The sequence below is a fragment of the Homo sapiens genome, chromosome 4 (genome assembly GCF_000001405.40).
Source record: "Homo sapiens chromosome 4, GRCh38.p14 Primary Assembly".
Classification (NCBI taxonomy): Eukaryota; Metazoa; Chordata; class Mammalia; order Primates; family Hominidae; genus Homo; species Homo sapiens.
In genome coordinates this window covers 41,189,302-41,210,147 of record NC_000004.12, presented here as the reverse complement: position 1 = coordinate 41,210,147, position 20,846 = coordinate 41,189,302, and the positions used below count along the sequence as shown (strand labels likewise).

At 41.1% G+C, this 20,846-nt stretch overlaps 1 protein-coding gene across 48 annotated transcripts in view, besides 1 other annotated feature; it reads left to right on the top strand.

Moving 5' to 3' along the window:
- APBB2 (amyloid beta precursor protein binding family B member 2) overlaps window positions 1-20,846 on the top strand; it is a 404,516-nt gene that overhangs the window by 4,395 nt on the left and 379,275 nt on the right. The window lies entirely within an intron of this gene.
- Window positions 20,542-20,621: an enhancer, noted in NCBI's record as "active region_21505". NCBI's record gives its function as "activates an Ori minimal core promoter by ATAC-STARR-seq in GM12878 lymphoblastoid cells {active_cell/tissue: GM12878}" and the evidence as "EXISTENCE:reporter gene assay evidence [ECO:0000049][PMID:35858748]".

Here is a 20,846-nt window from a genome sequence, read left to right as displayed (position 1 = left end):
CAGGAGGTGAGCGGCGGGCAAGTGACCTTTACCACCTGAGCTCCACCTCTGTCAGATCAGTGGTGGCATTTGATTCTCACAGGACTGTGAACCCTGTTGTGAACTGCACATGTGTGGGATCTTGGTTGTGCACTCCCTATGAGAATCTACTGCTTGTTGATCTGAGTTGGAACAGTTTCATCCCAATCCCCAACCCCATCCGTGGAAAAATTGTCTTCCATGAACGCTGTCTGGAGACCACTGGTTTAGAGCATTATTTGGAGGTGATTTTGTGTTTCCCTGTCTGGTTTGTCACTGCTTTGTCCAATGCCCTTCTTTTTTTGCCCAATTCCTACTTCCCTTATAGTTTTCATTTGTTATAAAATGGTTGTCATAAAATTAACTTTATGGCCCTGCCAGTCTAGTTAGCAGATAAGGTAATGATTAGATTTGGGTAAAGTGTATTCGACATTTGAAACTACTTCATAGCATTTTCTGCGGGGAGACTTTCTGCTCTTGAGCACACAGATAGTCTGAGAAAGAAACCTCTACCTAGGCTGCAGGGGAGGGGGTCCTGTGCTTTGCTTCCCAGGCCCACCCTTGTGAAATTTTGGCAAGCCTTTCCTGTGTCCCAGCCTTTGTCTCCTCGCCTCGATGAGAAATGCAGCCCTTGGTCTCTGGAATACGACTTTCACTCTCATTTGACGTTAGCCCTGTCACTGTGTTGGACAGATGCCTGTGATTGGCTGCTGCAGTAGCAGGAGTGGTGGCTGGTGAAATGTGTCTACTCAGTGTCATTAGCAGGATCATGAGCTTTTTTTTCTTTTTTCTTGGCAAGCTGCGATGGGGCAGAGAGCAAAGGAAACCAATCCCATTTGGTGTTTTTAGTGCATTTTGCTTTCAAGAGGCTCACAAAACTCAGCCTCATTAACCTTTAAGTGAGTCAGTGAGGAGTTGTTATCCCATTGAAATAATTTTTAATAAAGGGAGAGTGACTCTAGTTCCTCTAATAACCAGGCTCCAGGGTTCCTGGACCCCTGTTAGGAGTGGGTCATTAACTCCAGACATTAGATGAGAGCTGGGAGAGAGGAAGGGCATAGAGGGTGGAAGGTCAAGTCACACAACTGGGCAGGAAGTAAGAAGCTTGATCAGTTTAAAGGTATTAGAGCTCTTTGTGTGTAGAGTTACAGGAGATATTCCCTTTCTATATAATTTATTTCCATGGTGTTTGAATCTTATCTTGTTTTCTGTAATGGACGTATATTTATTTTATAATCAGAGAAAAATCCCAATATATAATTTATTGATATATAAAATGTACAGATTCACATGGACAAATACGAGAAGAGAACATGGAAAGAAATGAATGGTATAGAAAAGGATGGATTAAAGCTTTTCTTTGTTGTTGGTTAATGACTTGACAGTGGTTATAAACAAAGTTTACCAGTTCTACCCTCTCTTTTCCTCTTGTGGAAATCTTGCAAACTTTGTTTGCTAGGTAATAACTGAAGTTCCCGAAGTGTAACTCATTGGCAAGTATGCTTCAGGAATGCTTAGAGTGGGAGGAAGAGTGTCGTTTTTTTTAAGTTGATGAAAAAGAATGCAGAAACCGGGAGCAGTGGCTCATGCCTGTAATCCTAGCACTTTCGGAGGCCAAGGCAGGTGGCTCACTTGAGGTCGGGAGTTTGAGACCAGCCTGGCCAACATGGTGAAACCCCGTCTCTGCTAAAAATACAAAAATTAGCCGGGCATGGTGGCACACGCCTGTAATTTCAGCTACTCAGGAGGCTGAGGCAGGAGAATCGCTTGAACCCAGGAGGTGGAGGTTGCTGTGAGCTGAGACCGCGCCACTGCACTCCAGCCTGGGTGAAAGGGCGAGACTCTGTCTCAAAAAAAAGAATGCAGAATATTGGAATCGAGGTAGAAGGAAAAACGTGTGTTTAAGAGGGTGAGATAGATTGGAGAGACTTTGCGGAATTCCAGAGGGTAAAGGGAAATGCCATTGTTGAAGAAGGAAGGCCTGGCATTACTGGAGGTATGGGATGTGTCCCTGTCGTGTAAGTCAGAGCTCAGTTTCCACACAATATAAAAGTAAATGAGTATCTCCTATATGCAGAGCATAATGTTAGCCCCACAGGTCATTTATTGTTGGTTAGTGGTTTTCACTGTTCTTATCACAATGATGATAATGATGTAGTGAATATGTCATAATTGTTCAAATAAGAAGATATGTCCTTTTCTCTGATACTATGCCTTTCTCATTTTTGGGTAAGATTCTTTTATGATTTGATAGGAATATTTTTATCTAGCCGCTGAATGGTCCATGAAATTGGTAAGTCTGGGAATCTGGGCCTGAGATGCAGGGAGGCCTGCCCTTGGGATTGAGTTGAGTCATGGAGGCCAGGCCAACATGTGGAGTTTGTGGGTCAGCTGATGGGGCCCCTGGGCTTTCCAGGAATATAGAGTCACCCAAGGTCCTAGGAACTGTGAATGAGCTAATTTTGAAAGTGCCCTAGGAGCCAGTGACTATTTTTGAATTATAGCTTGAGAATGACAAGGAAAGCACCAAGATGAAAGATGAGGGTGTAAGGGAACAGAATGGGCAAGTGGTTGAAGTGTGAATTTCAGCAGGTGAACCTCAAGATGTATCTTGACATTTGATTCTTTGCATGCAGGCCTCTTTCTGGCAAAACAACACTCTTTAGCAATTCTTAGTTAGTGATTCTAGGAAATGGTGATGGGTGAAAGCCATAGAACCTAGAATTGTGTAATAGCCAGCTTGGCCCAGACCTCTGCAGTATCATTCCCTCCAGGGTGAGCCTTGAATTGCTGGAGGAAGCTTCAGAATGATTTGCTCATGGAATTGCTGTTATTCACCTTTAGTTTTGGTTGCTATTGTGGGGTGAAGAAGGAGTGTCAAAACAATAACAACAAATTATTTCCTTTTTTTTTTTTTTTTTTTTTTTTTTTGAGACGGAGTCTCACTTGGTCGCCCAGGCTGGAATGCAGTGGCTTAATCTCGGCTCACTGCAACCTCCACCTTCCAGGTTCAAGCAGTTTTCCTGCCTCAGCTACCCAAGTAGTTGGAACTACAGGTGCCCGCCACTGTATCCGGCTAATTTTTGTATTTTTAGTAGAGGCTGGGGTTTCACCACTTTGGCCAAGCAGGTCTCGAACTCCTGACCTCAAGTGATCTGCCCGCCTCAGCCTCTCAAAGTGCTGGGATTACAGGTATGGGTCCTCTCCCTGGCAGCATCCTGCTTGCTCTTTGGTGCTGGCTCTGTTCTTACCTTCTGATCTTCCTTCTGTTTCTCAGGTAGACTTCTGTCCTGGGCAAGAGTCGACCTGCCACATTGAGTATCACAATTTGCTAGGTGGTATTGTTTGTCAGTGGAAGTGAATAAATCAGAATTTCCTTAGCATGAGTTAGGTTTCTTGAGTTGTTTCATTCCTGGGGGAACTAATACCGTTAAAATTTCCTTGACATTTCAAGAAATGATCATATACCACATTGCAAATTTTGAACACAGCAGAGGCATGATTTGGGTGTAGAGACACCTTGGGAAGCATTGATTCAGACTCAGATTCTTCAGATTATCTGATCAGAACCTCTTGTCCTCTCCAAGAACCAAGGTCTGTGTATACCTTTTCCAGGACACTGGTGAAGAGAGACATTCATTTGGTGACATCCAGAAACCTCGGCTTCATTTGTTCCTTCCTTTGTTCAGCAAATGCTTATTGAGTACATAGTTTGTGCCTGGCACTGTGCTAAGTTCAGGAGGACAGAGAGGAATGTACCAGAACATTGGTTATAGGGTGCTGCAGTAGAGGCATGTGTGTGATGGGAGTGGAGGGGAAGGAAGGCTGTCCTAATCCTGCGAGAGTGGCAAGAGCTGTGGCTAGTGACTCCTCATGTAAAATTCCCACTACAGCAAACCCTTCAGCTGCTTCCTTTGTCATCTTTCCTTAACTCAATTTTATTCCTGCCTACCACCCAGGATTTGCTACTCCTTTTGTAAGGGAACTCGGGATTTGGCCTTTCAAATCTCTGTGGCAGTAGTTCTTAAGCAGGACAGTTTTGCTCACTGGGGAACATTTGGCAGTGACATTTTGGTCATGGTGACTGTGGAGGGATAACTACTGGCATCTAGTAGGAAGAGGCTAAGAATGCTACTAAATATCCTACAACATGTGCAAGGATAGCCCTAGAAGGAGGCAGCAGGGGTTTAGTGGTCAAGTCCCAGTGCTGCTCTGCAATTTAATAGCCATATGACAAAGGGCAACAGAATTGTACTTTGACAACAGAATTACACAGTGCTCAGTTTGCTCATCTGCAAATAGGAATACTAATTGTGCTTATATAATATGATTGTTGTGAAGATTTCATCAGTGAATGTATAAGGGCAGAGAACAATACTTGATGTGAGATAAGACCTTACTTAACGAGTATTTTTATTTTTAGTTTTAAACAAAAACTTTACCTTTTGACTCTAAAGAGCTTGAGTTTAGAGTATCCAGGGCAGTTGAGCTTGTAGCCCTACCTGTAAGTATGCTTTGGTGTAGGAAATGGCCATAGTTTTTGTGTTTTTCTAGTTCCTTTTTGTCCGTTGGCTTTATTTCCCATTGTCTCATCTCTTGAGATTTTTAATAGCTTTGCCTTTCATCCCTTTTTTCCCAGGGACCCAAATTTATGCCCTTAATGAGCTTTTCCCTAGAGGGCTGAGAATTATATTTATGATTTTCCTTAGCTCTGTCTATTTTGGGAATGGTGAGAAAATGGGAAGCGGGTCAGGGGAGATGTTGCATTACTTCCTGATTGCCATAGCTCCCTTCTCTGTAAAATCCCGTGAAGGATTGAGAGGCAGGTGGTAGTGCTTGCTTAGTAACTCTTCCCTTTACACCCACCAGCTCCACTCCCAAGTTGGGTGCCTACTACTTCCAAAATACCCCGTAATTGGGTCACAACATTATCTGCCTGCTTGGAATCATATTTAAAAATCAAAGCAAAGATGCAGACTATGTCAGCAGGATTTGAAATGTTTCCATCCTCTGCTTTGAGGCTTTGCAGAATTATTCTGAAAACAAAAGAAGGTAAACTTGTTATCCCAATGAGGTGGCAGTTTCTATGTGGCCTAGAATTATGCCTAATTTTTGCTTGTAAAAGGGCTCAAACCATGATCCTTTCTGACTTTCCACAGGGATGTGAGCTTTTGTGGACATCACTCAACAGATCAGATTTACTGTTGAATTTTCATAACATAATTGACTTGGAAAGCATTTCATTCAGTGTTTTGAATGGTGACTAGAGAGAAATTAAGAAGCTCAGTTGTTATATCTTTCGAATTCCTTTCCCATGACACAGTCATCTCTCCCCTGAATGAGAGCAGTGGCCTCCTGGCTTATCCAGCTCTGTTCACTCAGTTTGGCTTCCCAAGTGCTGGGCACTGTTCCAGATGCCACACGTGGACACTGACCAGGATGGCCACTGCCTCTACCTGCTCGGAGCTCTGGGTCTATAGAGAAAGGCTGACAGCTAAGGAATGAATGACGGTACTATGTGATACGTATTACTGGGAGAAATACTCAGTGCTTCCCAGACGAGCACTTATCCTGCTTGGGTGTGGGGAGTGTGTGGGGCAAAGCTTCCAGGAGAAGGGATGCTAAGTCTATTCCACAGTGCACCTGGACCTCTATCTTATGGTTCCTTAAGGCACCCTGACTCTAGCTCCCGCATGGAGCCTGCTGTTTCTGAATGCGTGCCTCCACCTTCCCTCCCACCTCGGTTGCTTCTCACCTTGGAGGCTGCACTTGCCTTTTTCCTGGTCTCTTTCTGTTTCTACTGTACACTGCCTCCAAGGTGATCTTCTGAAATCTTCTGCAGATCTGGGCATATCATCCCAACTCTTCAGGGGCTCCTTGCTGCCCTCAGGATGAAGTCTAAGCTTTTTGATGAGGCACCGAACATATTTCATGATCTGCTTTCCATCTCGTTCTTACGACATGCCAGATTTTCTCTGGCCTTTCGGCTTTTATCCCCTGTTGCCATTGCCTGCGACCATCCCTCCTGTCTGTTCTTTACCGCCTTTCAGTACTCCTTCAGGAAGTAGCTTAAACATTCTCTGATATCTTTATGGTTCTTGCTTGGCACAGCAAGTGGGAAAGTGGACAAGGTGGGGCAGGCTCACTGAAAATTTTCATTTGAGAGAGTCCAGGATGGGTCTTTTTGAAAAGCATGTTTGTTAAGATAAAACAATATAGAGTAAAAGTGTTTGGTTCAGTTGTCAGGGATGTGAGGAGACATCCATCCTAGGCTGCTGATTTCTCATGCTTGGAGCAGTTTCCAGAAAGATGCAGTGGGGTTTGACTGAGGAGAGGATTGATGGAGCTGGAGACATAAAGGGAGACGGCCCAGGAAACAGTTCACACAGGAAGGGAACCAGGCCTGGAGTACTGGGGAGAATTGGGGCTTACAGCTCCTGGAGGTTCCTACTGTTTCTGGGAACTTAGACTTTGGGGCCCTCTTGTTAGTGGTCTCTGTATTCGTGGCATTTCTGCTCTCCCTAAATGAGATAGGAAGTATGAACACTGAATATGTTGGATACTATCACTGTGGAGAGGGTCTCCATGTTCCAGAATTCAGGGGGGAAAACCTCCTGCATTCAAATTCCAATTATTTGAGCAGAAAATATGTGAATGGGGTGAAACAAAACTAACACTGACTGTTCTTATTCATGAGACTTGGCAATCAGATCACTGTCATTTTCAAAAAATGCCTCTTTTCCTAAGATTTGAGATAATTTCTACTAAGAAAAATAAAGGAAGTTCTGCATTCCATCAGTTTATGTATCATTGTCTCATGATCACAGTCATCTCCTGCTGACTTGAATTTTATTTCAGTTTAAATCATTTTCCTTTACTAGTACTAGATCCTGCTGTTACGTGTACACGTGTGTGTGTGTATATGTGTATCTTTTTTTTACAAGCTGCAAGTAGAAATAAGAAACAAAAATAAAGTGAGGTGTTTTATTGAATTTTTATCTTTTCTTCCTCTTAGTTCTGAAAACATGTGGATTGCAAGAAAAACCAATTAAAAAAAAAAACTGAGGAGAATGTGGATTTGTGGCATGATTATCTTTATTTCCTGTAAAGAAAACAGGATTTTCATTAGATCCTGTTGTGCTGTTCTCCCATGAGAGAAATAATAATGAGATAGACTGCCACATTTGGAGTATATATACAATTTTGCTTAACATTTAAATGATTTTTATACGAACATTTGTGAAGGTTTGAACGTTTGCCTACATTCTGCAGCCCCAGTTATTAACAATACAGTGCTGTCTTGTCAAGAACAATTTCTTTATATCAGCGAAACTTCAGGTAGTTTAAACTTATTTCTACAACAGGAGAGCTGGGTACAGATTTTCATTAAAGCACATTTATTTTACGTTAGTATTGACCTTGAAAGTTAATTTTTGAAATGCTCAGAGATACATCATTTTGATAAATGGTCAAGTTAAACAACGCAATGTGAATGTTTCTATGTGATGCAGTTGTAAAAAATTTGTTTGCATAAAGCCAAAGATTATAAGAGAATGAATAGAAACAAAAATAGTATGGTTTCTTGGTGGGATTGTGGATGGTTTTGTTGGCGTTATCGTTCTTCCTCCTTCCCAAGCATCCTTAGTGTTTTTATATCCTGTTAGCAATGAGTAAAAGGGAAAAAATAATTCTTGTGTGTTCATTTTTGTTTCCTCTAAAGGATGTGCATTTCAGGGGTGTTTCTTTAAGCAAACTAATTGGGAACAAAAGAGAACTGGCATATGCTAAGTGAAATTAGCCAGTCACAAAAGGAAAAATATTGTACAATTCTACTTGTATGGATTGCCTACAGTAAATTTAGAGACAGACAGTAGAATGGCAGTTGCCAGAGGTTGCGGGGAGGGAGGAATGGAGAGTTACTGTTTAATATGTACAGAATTTTAGTTGGGGAAGACGAAAAGTTTTGAAGACGAATGGTGGTGATCATTGTACAACAATGTGAATGTACTTAATGCTGCAGAACTATACACTTAAAAATAGTTAAAATTCCAAGGAGAAATTAATTTGCACTAGACTGAAGCTCCTGGGGGCATGTTCTCACCTCAGTGCAATCTGCTGCTGGGTCTGAAGCTCCGAGGAGCGGGGAAGTCACAGACCCCAGGAGCTGGGAGGGTATAGACGCCACTCACCTGAACTTGACACCAAGCTACTCATCCAGACAGGTTTCAAATTGTGAATTGGGTATGATCTATGTGGGGCGTATTTTTGGCCGTGTATATTACTGACTTGCACTTTGGAGATAATTTGGTAAAAATGAACTTGATTGGCATATTCTCAAAAACTGTGGCACCTTTCCCATTTACCCTGCTGAGTGTATTCTCAAAGCCAAGTGACTAGCTGGCCTAACCTTTTTTTCTTGCCCATGTTGTTCTAAAGAGAGCATAGGCTTTATCTGTATAGATCTGGGTTTAAATTCAGGCCTTACTCTGGGATAGACGGATATAGGTGGGTGCCCTGAGGTGAACAGCTTTTTCTCCCTGAGCCACGTGTGCTTTTCCCATCTGTAAAATATCTTTAGTGATACTTACCTGGCCATGCTGTGGGAAGGGTTTACTGTGATAACATGTGAAAGTTCTTGCTATATAGAGCAAGTAATCAAGATATTTAGCCACTTTTCATATTTTGTTTCATATTTTGGAGCATTTTGGATTTCAGATTTTCAGATTAGCGATGCTCCACCTTTTGTAGGTTTAAAATGCTTTTTATTCAACTACATGGTTTGGGTTTTTATTCTTACCTGTCTCCCCTCCCTTTTATTATCTTCAGAAAATACAGATGACAGTCCCTCTGTGTTTGATACTTCATATTACAGTTTGATAGGCTTGGGAAATGTATCAGTTGGGATTTGATTCTGGGTTTGATTTGATCAGCGTGGTAACCCTAAACAAGTTACCTCCTTTCCCTACAGGAATCTTATGGGATCCTATAGGAATTATAAAGGTCAGTGTTTAATGAGCCCTCCGTATAAGGCAACTGTCACTGTGATGAATGCACTGCATGGATTATCTCATTTGATGCTGTACTTCTAAGAGGTAGATACTGTTATAATCTCCTAATACAGATGGGGAAGGTGAGGCACACTAAGGTTGTTTGAGAGCATGCAGCTAGAGTTGCACTAGATGAAGATTAAGGGGCCAGAATTTGCAAAGGAGAAAGCACTCAGTATATGTGAATACACATGCACAGATACACACATGTACACACACCCTGAATATTTTCTTAAAACACAAGAGCTACTAGATTGTAACACTGGGAATTCCCCAGGACGATAGAGAGGTCTAAGGACCAAGCAGTGTGAGAAAGATGTCAGAAGTGCTACCTGTATTTGGTTGTAATTGTAGCTACTTTGCATTTTTTAAACAAAGAAAATTTCTACATGCTCTATAGAGTGACACATACTTTTAAAGGCTGTAACTGGTATTGCGATGTTTTCTTTAGGAAAAAAAAATCAGTTATTTCTCAAATCATTGAGCATTCTGTCCTGAGAATGTGCTCAGGATAATCACGGAGGATAAGTTCCAGCCGCCAGGGGAGAGCAACTGGCAGTCTCAAAATATTCTCTGTAAATATATTAGTCTGAAAATTGCATTTTAATGTGGTGTACTAGTAAAATAGAATTTTACTTGCTAAATTATTCCATGTTAATAGTGGTATAATTTTTCTAGAGAAAGGCTAATTTTATTTAAAAAAAAAATAGGTCATTCATTTCTTCCAAAATTATTGAATTATCCTTTGGAATAACCTGTTAGTACTTCCTCTTCTATTTCAGTCAGGGTAATAGAATACAAGAAAGCTGATTGAATTTTATGATAAGAATTTGATTTTCAGAAATGTCATTTTCACCACAATGTTTGCTTTGACCAGCTTTGCTCTATAGTGCATTTTGACTTGAATGCTGTATTTTGGTATTTAAAGTGAGTTAAGGAACTTACGTGGTGCTTTTCACCATGTAGGTGATGCTAGCGTAATATATTCATTTAGTTGTGTCTGATGTCATTCAAAGAGTAATTCTTGAAATGGGTTGGTTAACAATGATTTCAAAGAGTAATTCTTGAAGTGGGTTGGTTAACAATTACTCATACCAGATCATTTCCCCAAATCTGTCTAAAGGGCCAAATTCTGAATTAGCCTATTGTGGAAATTTCTTTGTTTTCTAGCATACAGAGGAAATCAGGCTGCCAGTGCATGGTGAATGTATTTCTCATGATTTAGAAGTGAACAAAGTATAGCTGATGTAGAGCAAATGCACAAGTTTGCCACTAGACACCGGAAGAACAGTGAAGCTATTAATAAGATAAATTCAAAACATACCCTTTTACTTGAATAATTATGTACCTCATTTATGTTTTTCCTTGAAGGCTAGTTATTGTCAGGTTAATGAAAATTTGAAAGTTGCATGTAATCTTAAACTGTTAGCTGTAGATCCCAAAGAATCACAAGCTTTTAAAATAAATGGGCACCTCTATTAAGAGTTTAACAAATAAAATATCAATGATTATAGGTTGCTCTTATCAAATTATTTAATTATTGTTCATTGGTCAAAATTCAAAGGTGTTGCTTTAGTGCAAGAAAAGGAGGTGCACAATAAATTAGCAGTGGGCAGGTAGGCAGATTATAAGTACTGCCCTTGGAATTTTTTTGGTATATTAACTAGCTTCTCTTCTAGGGAAAGACTTGCTTTTTTATGACAAAGAAAGTTTCTCATGTATGTTTTGGATGTGTTCCATTTACCTGTATAAAGAGAAACCTTGAATCTCAAACCATTAACCATTTCCTTACTCTGAAGGGTAGTTTGAGAACTGGCAAATCTTGCATTTATAAGGTAACTGGTTAAAGAGACTCGAGTTATCTCTGTGCATCTCTGGAGTCAGTTCTATTGAGGGCATCTGTTTGGGTTAAATTGTGTCCCCCCCAAAAATATAACTTGAAGTCCTAATACTTCATATCTGCAAATGTAACCTTATTTTGAAAAGGGTTTTTGCAGATGTTAAGGTGAGGTCATACTGGATAGAGTAGGTTAGGGTTCTTAATTCCTTATAACTGGTTTTCTTATAAGAAGAGGGAAATTTGTTTTTGTTTTGTTTTGCTTATCCTGGCTTGCTTTAAGCTTTAGAAGAAGAGGGAAATTTGGACACAGACACACAGGTAGAGTGTCGTATAAAGACAGACACACAGACACACAGAAGGAAGACATGCGAAGATGGAGGCAGAGACTGGACTTGTGCTGCCACAAACCAAGGGATGCTTGGGGCTACCGGAAGCTTGAAGAAACAAGGAAGGGTCCTCTCCTGAAGACTTTGGAGGGATCATGGCTCTGCCAACACCTTGATTTCAGACTTCTAGCTTCTAGAACCGAGAGAGAATAAATTTTGGTTGTTTTAAGCCACCCAGTTTATAGCAGTTTCTTACAGCAGCCACAGGACACTTAATCCACAAGCCTTTGGAGTCAGTCGGCCTGCGTTTGAATCCTGGGTTTACCTTCTAATGCTGTGATCTTGGGCAAGTTACTGAACCTCATGGTGCCACAGTTGACTCATCTGTAAAATAGGACTAAAAAGAACACCATCTTCCTATAGTTGTTTTGAGGATAAAACAATATATGTATAGCACTTTGAACAGTGCTTGCTGCTATTATATTTCAAAAACCAATTGTTTCAAAGCTAAAAGGAAATGATTTTTGATAATTCTACAAATATCTCCTGAACTTCCTCTTTAATGACAGGCCATATGCTAGCCAGTAAGTGTACATGTTGGCCCAGGCAGACAGGATCCCTGCTTTCCTAGATCCATCAGGCGCTTATTCCTCCATTAACATGAAGAAGAAGGACATGTTCCTTGTGGTAGCATTATGGGCAAGAGCTGGGTGTAGCCTTTCCTGTGGACCTCAGAGACATGTATTAGGGAGGTGGTGAATATGGAGCCAGACTGCTTGGGTTTAAATTCTAGTTCTTATCAGCTCTGGCCTTGGGGAGTGATAGAATTTTTGAATTATTTCTCTACCTCCACATCTGCAAAATGGAGACAATAATAGCGCCTTTCTCAGTAGGGTTATTGTAAGGATTAAATGAGTTAAAATACTTAAAGTACCTAGAATAGTCAGCACGTAATGAATATTGTTATATTATCAAATGAAACCAGAAAGGCCTCAAATTTGTAAATTCATTCTTTTGCATTTTATTAAGTGTAGGGAGTTAATGCATAAATCAGATGGAGCTCTTTTCCACATAGAGCTCATAGTCAAATGGGGGAGACTTATTCGTCTACATGTTAGTGAAATAGCATATGAACAAAGAATATGGGGGTAGAAAGAAGAGTGTGATTAAATCTCCTAGGAGTATCAGGAAAAGTTGTTTTAAGACGGGTTTTGAAGGTTAAGTAGGAGTTTGCCAGGCAACAAAGGCAGAATAGAGCTTAGAGGATGTGGGAGGAAGCATCTCTAAAGACGTTGGCAGGTACAGCAGACACCCAGCAGTCACAGTGCTACAAGAGTATAGACTCTGGAGCCAGGATTGAAATTCTGCCAGTTACTGTTGTATGACCTTGAGTCACTTTCTTGACCTCTCTGTACCTCTGTATTTTCATCTTTTAAGTGGGGATCACAGGCTTTGGGTAGATAACTTGGAGTGCTTAGATCAGTGTTTGGCCAAAATAAGTGCTCAGAAAATACTGGCTTTTATTAGTGTTATTATTCTTGTATTTGCTATTGGAAGATAAGCATTAAGAAGGCTCATCAAATATTTTTAGTTCAGTTCAGTGATTCCTGTGGGCTTGGATAAATGCTGCGGCCCTGAGCCCATATACTCTCTTGAAAACAACTTTCACCATTTGAACACTGGTATTAAGAGGGGAAAAAATAACATGCATATTGTTCGAGCAGGAGAAAAAAATATTAAAATAGGCCAGACATTGGCACAAAGTTGTGTACAGATTGCTGATTAGGCAAAATAAAAAAAATAAACCGGCATGTTGAGCCAACATGATTTTGTTGTTAAATCTGGTGAACCACCTGTATCTTTAAGTGATCAATTTAAAGATAGTTTTGGTTTGTTGTTAATTGTCTTCAAATTACCCAGTGACATCAGTCTATGTTCAGAACTAATACAATTTAAAAAAACTAGTGCTGGAGCACACCCTCCGTGGTGGTGCCGCCTCACTTGGGCTGTGTTCAGAGGGGGAAAGGAGTGTGTGGGATTTCTTCGGCCACACATTTCAGAGCTATGATGGCAAATGCATGATTTCAACTGTGGTCTCACTTAGTTTTATTTTTATTTTTGAAGAGGAGGATTATTTCCAATTGTGGTTTTCTTTGATCATGAAAGGAAAATGTGCTCATGATGGCAAGAGTCAGGCAAAAAGAGACTAAAAAGTAAACATCACTAGAAATTTCAACATTTGGAGATAATTGTTAACACTTGTGGTCAAACCTTCTAAGCCTCTCCCCACTTGCAAAAAAAAAAAAAAAAAAAAAAAGCAGGGGGCTTTTCTCAACGACAGGAACAGCAAAGACCAGCACTGGATGTGGGGCAGTGAGGTTTTGGGGGAGATGCTTAATTGAAAATTGTTTTGGAAAGTTCCAGACAAAAACAGCAAAATGGTGATAATGGAATTTTTTTGCATTGAATGTGTTTAAAATCTTTGCGATAATAAGTGGCTGGGCAAAGGTTACCTATGTATTCATCCAGCATGTGTTTATTGAGTACCCACTAGGTGCTAGGGGTATAGTAAGTGGACACAACAGATGAAAATCTGAACTTTGGTGGCACTTGCACCCAGTGTCAGGACTATAGACAGTAACTAACCATAGTACGTAATTGACATTACAAACTGTAAGTGCTGTGATGAAAAATGAACTAGACGGGGGGATGGGTGATCATGGGATGGGCTAGGAGGGGATGTGATTTTTTTTTTTTTGAGACGGAGTCTTGCTCTGTCGACCAGGCTGGAGTGCAGTGGCGGGATCTTGGCTCACTGCAAGCTCCGCCTCCCGGGTTCACGCCATTCTCTTGCCTCAGCCTCCCAAGTAGCTGGGACTACAGGCGCCGCCACCACACCCAGCTAATTTTTTGTAGTTTCGGTAGAGACGGGGTTTCACCGTGTTAGCCAGGATGGTCTCGATCTCCTGACCTTGTGATCTGCCCGCCTTGGCCTCCCAAAGTGCTGGGATTACAGGCATGAGCCACTGAGCCTGGCCGGGATGTGATTTTTAAATCGAGGAGAGGACTTGAAAGAGTTGAGGGAGGATCCCCTGGGTTGTGCATATGGCGGGAAGGGGTATTCCAGGAGTGGAGGATGTCAGCAGGGTGGGAATGGGATCAGTGAGGGGAGGAGGAGCAGAGGAGTCAGAAGGATCTAAGGGTAGGGCTGAAGGTGGGAAAACAACCTGTAGGGCTGTTTAGGACACGGAAAGGGCCTTGACTTTGCTGCCAACGAAGATGTGAAGGCTCCAGGCAAGGGTAACAATCTAACTTACATTTTATGAGGGTCCTGTGGCAGCTGTGGTGAGAACAGACTTTAGGGGTGCTGAGGTGGATCAGGGAGACCTGTGGCGAGGCTCTTGTGTGGTAATCTGGTTTGGGAGAATGGTGGAGAACTGGATGCAGGTAGGAGCAGTGGAAGTGGCAAGAAATGACTGGATTCTGAATATTTGTTCAAAGTGGAGCGAGCACGGTTTGTTGATGGACTGAATGTGGGGTGTGATAGAAAGAGAGGAGTCAAGGACAATTCTGAGGATCTTAGTCGGAGCAGCTGGAAGCAGGAGGCTGCTGTGAATGGAGATGGAATGGAGCTGGTTTTGGTGGGGATTTCAGCCATGGATACCATCATTTGAGGTGTTTCATCAGCATCCTAGTGGTGATATGGACTGGGCAGTTGGACTTACGAGTTTAGAGCTTAGGGCAGAGGTCTGAGAGGGGCCTGTAGGTTTGGGAGTATAACGGTCACCCAGGGAGGGGGTGAAGACGGAGAAGACTTACATAGCACGGTCAGGTTAGGGCTGGACAGATGAGGAAGAGCTAGCAAAGGGGGCTTGAGGAGCAGTGGCCACTAAGACAGGAGTGTGACATCTTAGAAGCCAAAAGAAGACCATGTAATTCAAGGGAGAGGTATGATCTGCTGGGTCAGATCTAAAAATAAATCACACGTCTTCTTAAACTGTAGTAATTAACCACTGAAAACTTATGAGTGATCCAATATTACGTAAATAAAAAAAGAAAAAATTAAAAAAAGAAAAACGAGTGAGTGAGTATTCCTTAGATTTTATCTTACTTCAATATACAGAATTGTTTTAAGTATTCAGTACAAATTCCTCTGTTCTCTCTTCCCATACCCTAGAGGTCTCATTGTTAATAGTTAATAGTCTGGATAACCTTTCAGATGTGTGTATTTATTTTATTTTATTTTATTTTTTGAGGCAAGGTCTTGCTCTGTCACCAAGGCTAGAGTGCGGTGACATGATCTTACCTCACTGTGGCCATCCATCCTCAGACGATTCTCCCACGTAGCGGGGACTACAGGCGCCTGCCACCATGCCCGGCTAATTTTTGTATTTTTGGTAGAGACAGGGTTTTGCCATCTTGCCCAAGCTGGTCTCAAACTCCTGGGCTCAAGCAGTCCACCTGCCGTGGCCTCCCAAAGTGCTGGGATTACAGGCATGAGCCACTGTGACCGGCCCCAGATGTGTATATTTATTTTATCTATACTGATATCTGTATATCTGTATCTATAAATGATCTCTCTTCTTTTCTTTTTTGAGAGAGAGTTTCGCTCTGTTGCCCAGGCTGGAGTGCAGTGGCACAATCATGGCTCATTGCAGCCTTGAACTCCTGGGTTCAAGCAGTCTTCCTGCCTCAGCCCCCGGAGTAACTGGGAAGACAGGCACACACCATCACATCCAGCTAATTAAAACAATTTTTTTTTTTTTTGTAGAGATGCAGTCTCACTGTGTTGCCCAGAATGGTTTCAAACTCCTCAAAGATTGGGCTCAAAGTTCGGGCTCAAGTGATCCTCCCGCCTTGGCCTCCCGAAGTTCTTGGATTACAAGCTTGAGCCACTGCCTGGCCTCAATTTCACTCTTAACAAAATATTTCAAATATACAAATAATCTAAAAAGTGGGGACTAATGTTCTAGATACTGATATTCCTACCACACCCATCAGAAAAGAAATGCGAACACTGTTCTAGATGTTTTCAGATTTATCTTTACTTCTCCATTATTGCAGTTATTTTTACTATTTTTACTTGTGCCATTCAACATACACCCTCTTACAACTACTTGCTAGTGTGAGTGCATGGGTGTGTTTTCTCTCTCTCTCTCCCTCTCTCTCTCTACCCAGACTCTTCTACCCTGCCTAGGGCTATCCTGTGTTTTTCAGACAGTTGCTGTAACAGCAGCAGTGGTGGTTCTGTATCCAACTGGGTCCTGGGAGACCTGCAGAAGTAATAATGCAGAAAACAGCAGCCTCCGCAAGGAACATGTTAAGCTCACTGACAAAAAGTAGCTTACCTTGGGGAGTCCCTGGTTTCCATTCGGAGAGCTCAGGAGGGCCTGTGGGAGTACCATGGTCTAGGGGTAGGACTGAGGTTTTGGTGCCCTTCAGTTCTTTCTGCATATCCTAGCTTTGTCACCAGCTGTGACCTTGGACAAGTGACCTAAGCTTTATGCATCCCAGCTTTCTTCATCCAGAGGACTGAAAATAGTAATTGCCTCCTTGAAAGGTTGTTGTGGGGCTTATAGGAAATAACATATGTAAAGTGCCTAAGAGGCCTGTCACAGAGTATGTGCCAGTTACATTTGTTCTTTTTCCAGGTCTTTATCATCTTTTCCCTATTTTACTGTTAAGTTAGTTGGTGGACAAAAAAGATTGAGAGGTACATTATTTAAATAAATATGCTTTGGTTATCTATAACAGGATATTGAAGTTAGACAATTTTAGCGCATAAAATAGGTGAACTGAAACTAGAGCTCAACCAGTTTTTGCTTTTGTATTTTAAAATTTTAAATACAGTTTCTTAGCCAGTAAGCCTTTAGGTTTCACTGTGAACACGTTCATTGTCAAGCTCACTACTAGAAATCAAATGGTGCCTTTAACCTGTGGCTCTCAGGCCACCCCACTTGGCGAGTGACTTGGATTGGTGAGAACCCTCTTCTTTTTATAAAAAAGATTATTTAAAAAAATCATTTATAAGGTGTACAACATGATGTTATGGTATGATACATAGAGAGTGTAAAATCATTACTATAGTGAACCAAATTAACATATCCATCATCTCACAGTTCCCCATTTTTTTTGTTTTGTTTTTGTGCCAAGAGCAGCTAAAATCTGTTCATTTATCAGGAATCCCAAATATAGTACAGTTCGTTAGATTCCTAGTCTTGTTCATCCTACATATCTGCTACTTTGTATCCTCTGAACCTATATTTCCCCACCTCCCCCATTCCATTCCACTGTTTTATTCTCTATCTCTGTATGTTTGATATTAAATTTTTTTTTAAGATTCCACATATAAGTGAGATCATGTGGTGTTTTTCTTTCCGTGTCTGGTATAATACCACTTAGCATAATATCTTCTAGGTTCGTCCATGTTGTGGCCAATGGCAAGATCCCCTTTTTTAAGGCAGAATAATATTCTGTTGCATGAATATATCACAGTTTCTTTATCTGTTCCTTTGTAGATGGACACTTAGGTTGTTTCCGTATCTTGGCTATTGTAAGTAATCCTACAATGAACATGGCACTGCAGATATCTTAATGAGATGGTGATTTCATTTCCTTTGGGTATATGCCCAGAAGAGGGATTGCTGGCTCCTATAGTAGTTCTGTTTTGAGTTTCTTTGGTAACCTCCATACTGTTTTCCATAATGACTACACCAGTCTATATTCCCACCAACAGTGTACAAACGTTCCCTTTTCTCCACACCTTCAACAACATTTGTTATCTCTTGACTTTTTTGACAACAGCATTCCTAATGGGTGTGAGGTGGTACCTCATAGTGCTTTTAATTTCAATTTGCATTTCCTTGATGATTAATTGATGTTGAGTTTCTTTTCATATATCTGTTGGCCATTTTTATGTCTTCTTTAGGAAAAATGTCTATCCAGGTGACTTATTCATTTTTTATCAGGTTATTTATTTTTCTACTATTGAGTTGTATGAGTTCTTTATAAATTTTGGATCGTGACCGCCATATTAGGTATATGGTTTGCAAATGCTTTTTCCCAGTCTCATAGGTTGCCATTTCATTTTGTTGATTGTTTTCTTTGCTGTGCAGAAAAGGTTTTGATGTAGTTTGATGTAGTCCCATTTATTAATTTTTGCTTTTATGACCCAGGCTTTTGGCGTCATATCCAAAAAATCATTGCCAAGGCCAGTGTTAAGGAACTTTTCCCTTATGTTCTCTTCTGGGAGTCTTTATGGTTTCGGGTATTATGTTTAGGTCTTTTATCCATTTTGAGTTGATTTTTATGTATGGTATAAGATAAGGGTCCAGTTTTGTCCTTTTGTGTGTGGAAATCCAGTTTTCCTAGTACTGTTTATTGAGGAGACTATCCTTTCCCCATTGTGTCTTCTTAGTGTGCTTGTGAAATATTAGTTGACTCTATAGAACCATCTTCTTTCACACTTGGATTTTTAAAGGAGGGTTGGGGGAGAAATAAAAATAAATGAATGCGTAGAAATAAACTTTAAAAAGATTTGATAGCTGTTGATGTTGTCAGTGGACACCAGGTTGGGCAGGGGAATTAGATTGTTGCAGATTGTTCATAACCTAGCCACGTGGTTCGATTATGTTAAGCACATAGGCATTAATAAGGGGGAGAGAAGGCTGTTTATTGGTTAAAGTGGACAAAGGAGGAAAATACATGTGGTAGAAGTTGTCCACCCTCCTCATCCTCCCCACTCCAGTCCTCTGGTCCCATGAGTGAAATATTTTATCAGTCTGAGCGTTCTCCTTCCTGGATAGGCAAGGCTGCTGTCATTGAGATGTTTTTGACCTCTTGGGTGTGACCTGACTCCGCTGGGTCCCTGCCAAGCTTCTCCTCAGAGAGAATTGAATCGATCAGGTTGGGTCTCAAAGCATGGTCCACATGGGAAATGATGGGCCAACCACAGCTCTCTGGTTTTTCTTCTGCTAGCCTTTTTGCTGCTCTCGTTCATCAGAAACAGCAGACCAGCGTTGGTCCATTTCTTCAAAGCTCCTTAATCAGAAGTAGAGGATTAGCTTTCTTTGGCTTTTTTCTTTTCAGATCTTCTTAAAGTGTTTTACTTTGTATGGCGCAACCACTTTATGTTACTTTGGAGGTAAAGTTTAGCTGACTCCAGGAGTCAAGCCGTGTTTTTATGGACAGGTATGTGTGATTAGTATGAAGTTGTCTTGTGCATAATCTATGCAACAAAATACACTTAGTATCCAAACCTAATAATACAAAGGTGGATGCATATCCCTTTTCCATGCTGGATACTTGCTCTTCTTTTCCTACCTCTTCTGAGGAGATAATCACAGAACTTTAAGAAATAGCCTTTGTAGCTGGGTGCGGTGCCTCACAACCTGTAATCCCAGAGCTTTGGGAGGCTGAGGCAGGTGGATCACAAGGTCAAGAGTTTGAAGACCAGCCTGGCCAACACGGTGAAACCCTGTGTCTACTAAAAATATAAAAATTAGCCGTGTGTGGTGGTGGGTGCCTGTAATCCCAGCTACTCGCGGGCTGAGGCAGAGAATTGCTTGAACCTGGGAGGTGGAGGTTGCAGTGAGCCGAGATCGCGGCACTGCGCTCCAGCCTGGGCGACGGAACAAGACTCCATCTCAAAAAAAAAAAAAAAAAAAAAAAAAAAATAGCCTATGTAGGAAATTCTTTTGATATAGTAAGTTTTAGAAAGCAAATATACTACAATGAAATAATACTAAGCAGTATGTTAAACTATGGGACATTTTTATTTCTTCAAGGATTATAACACTGGGGGATTATCAACTTTCTAATGAAAAAAAATAATAGCACGTGTAAGATTGGACCTATTTGGATAATTAAATATTAATGAAAGAAGATGTGACTTTTGATTTTTAGCCATGAATTTTTAAGGGACTTCTATTTGAAGACATGCTGAATTGTTTACTAAATTCAGGAAACAGTTACAGATTTTCAACCCTGTGCTGAGGCAACGTGCAGGTGCTTAGGAGACAAAAGAGAATGGGCCCCAGGCCTGTCTCCCAGGGGTTCACAGACAGTAAGTGTTATCGTGGAGAAACCTGTTCATGTAACACAGAGGAGGGATCAGTTAGTTTTGTCTGGGGTGTTAGAGAAAGAAGAAGAAAGGAAATGACTTACTATGTAAGGACCACAGTTCTATGGCTGAAGAATCTGAGCCATGTCCAGAATACTTAGCTAATGACTTCCTCAGGAGAGAGAAGTATACCGCTATTTACTTGTACTGAGGACTTTAATTTGTTGAGATGCTTTTATTGCTTGATTTTCTGAGGTTAGGCTGTTTTATTGTTAGGTAGCAGCAGCCAGAGAGCTGTTTTCGGAGGGGATTTACTGTCACTGTAATGCTCTGGGGCTGGGAGACTTTTATTTACCCATTAACCTTTTACATTAAGGGAAAGCACACAGATCTTAGGTGTACTGCTTGATTTTTCCATATATATGCAACTGTTTAGCCATTACCCAGGTCAAGATAGATAACATTCCTATCCCTCCTGTGGCCTTCCTCCTGCCCCTTCCAGACAGTACCCCTCCCATTGTATCTTTATCACTGTAGGCAAGTGTTCCCTCTTT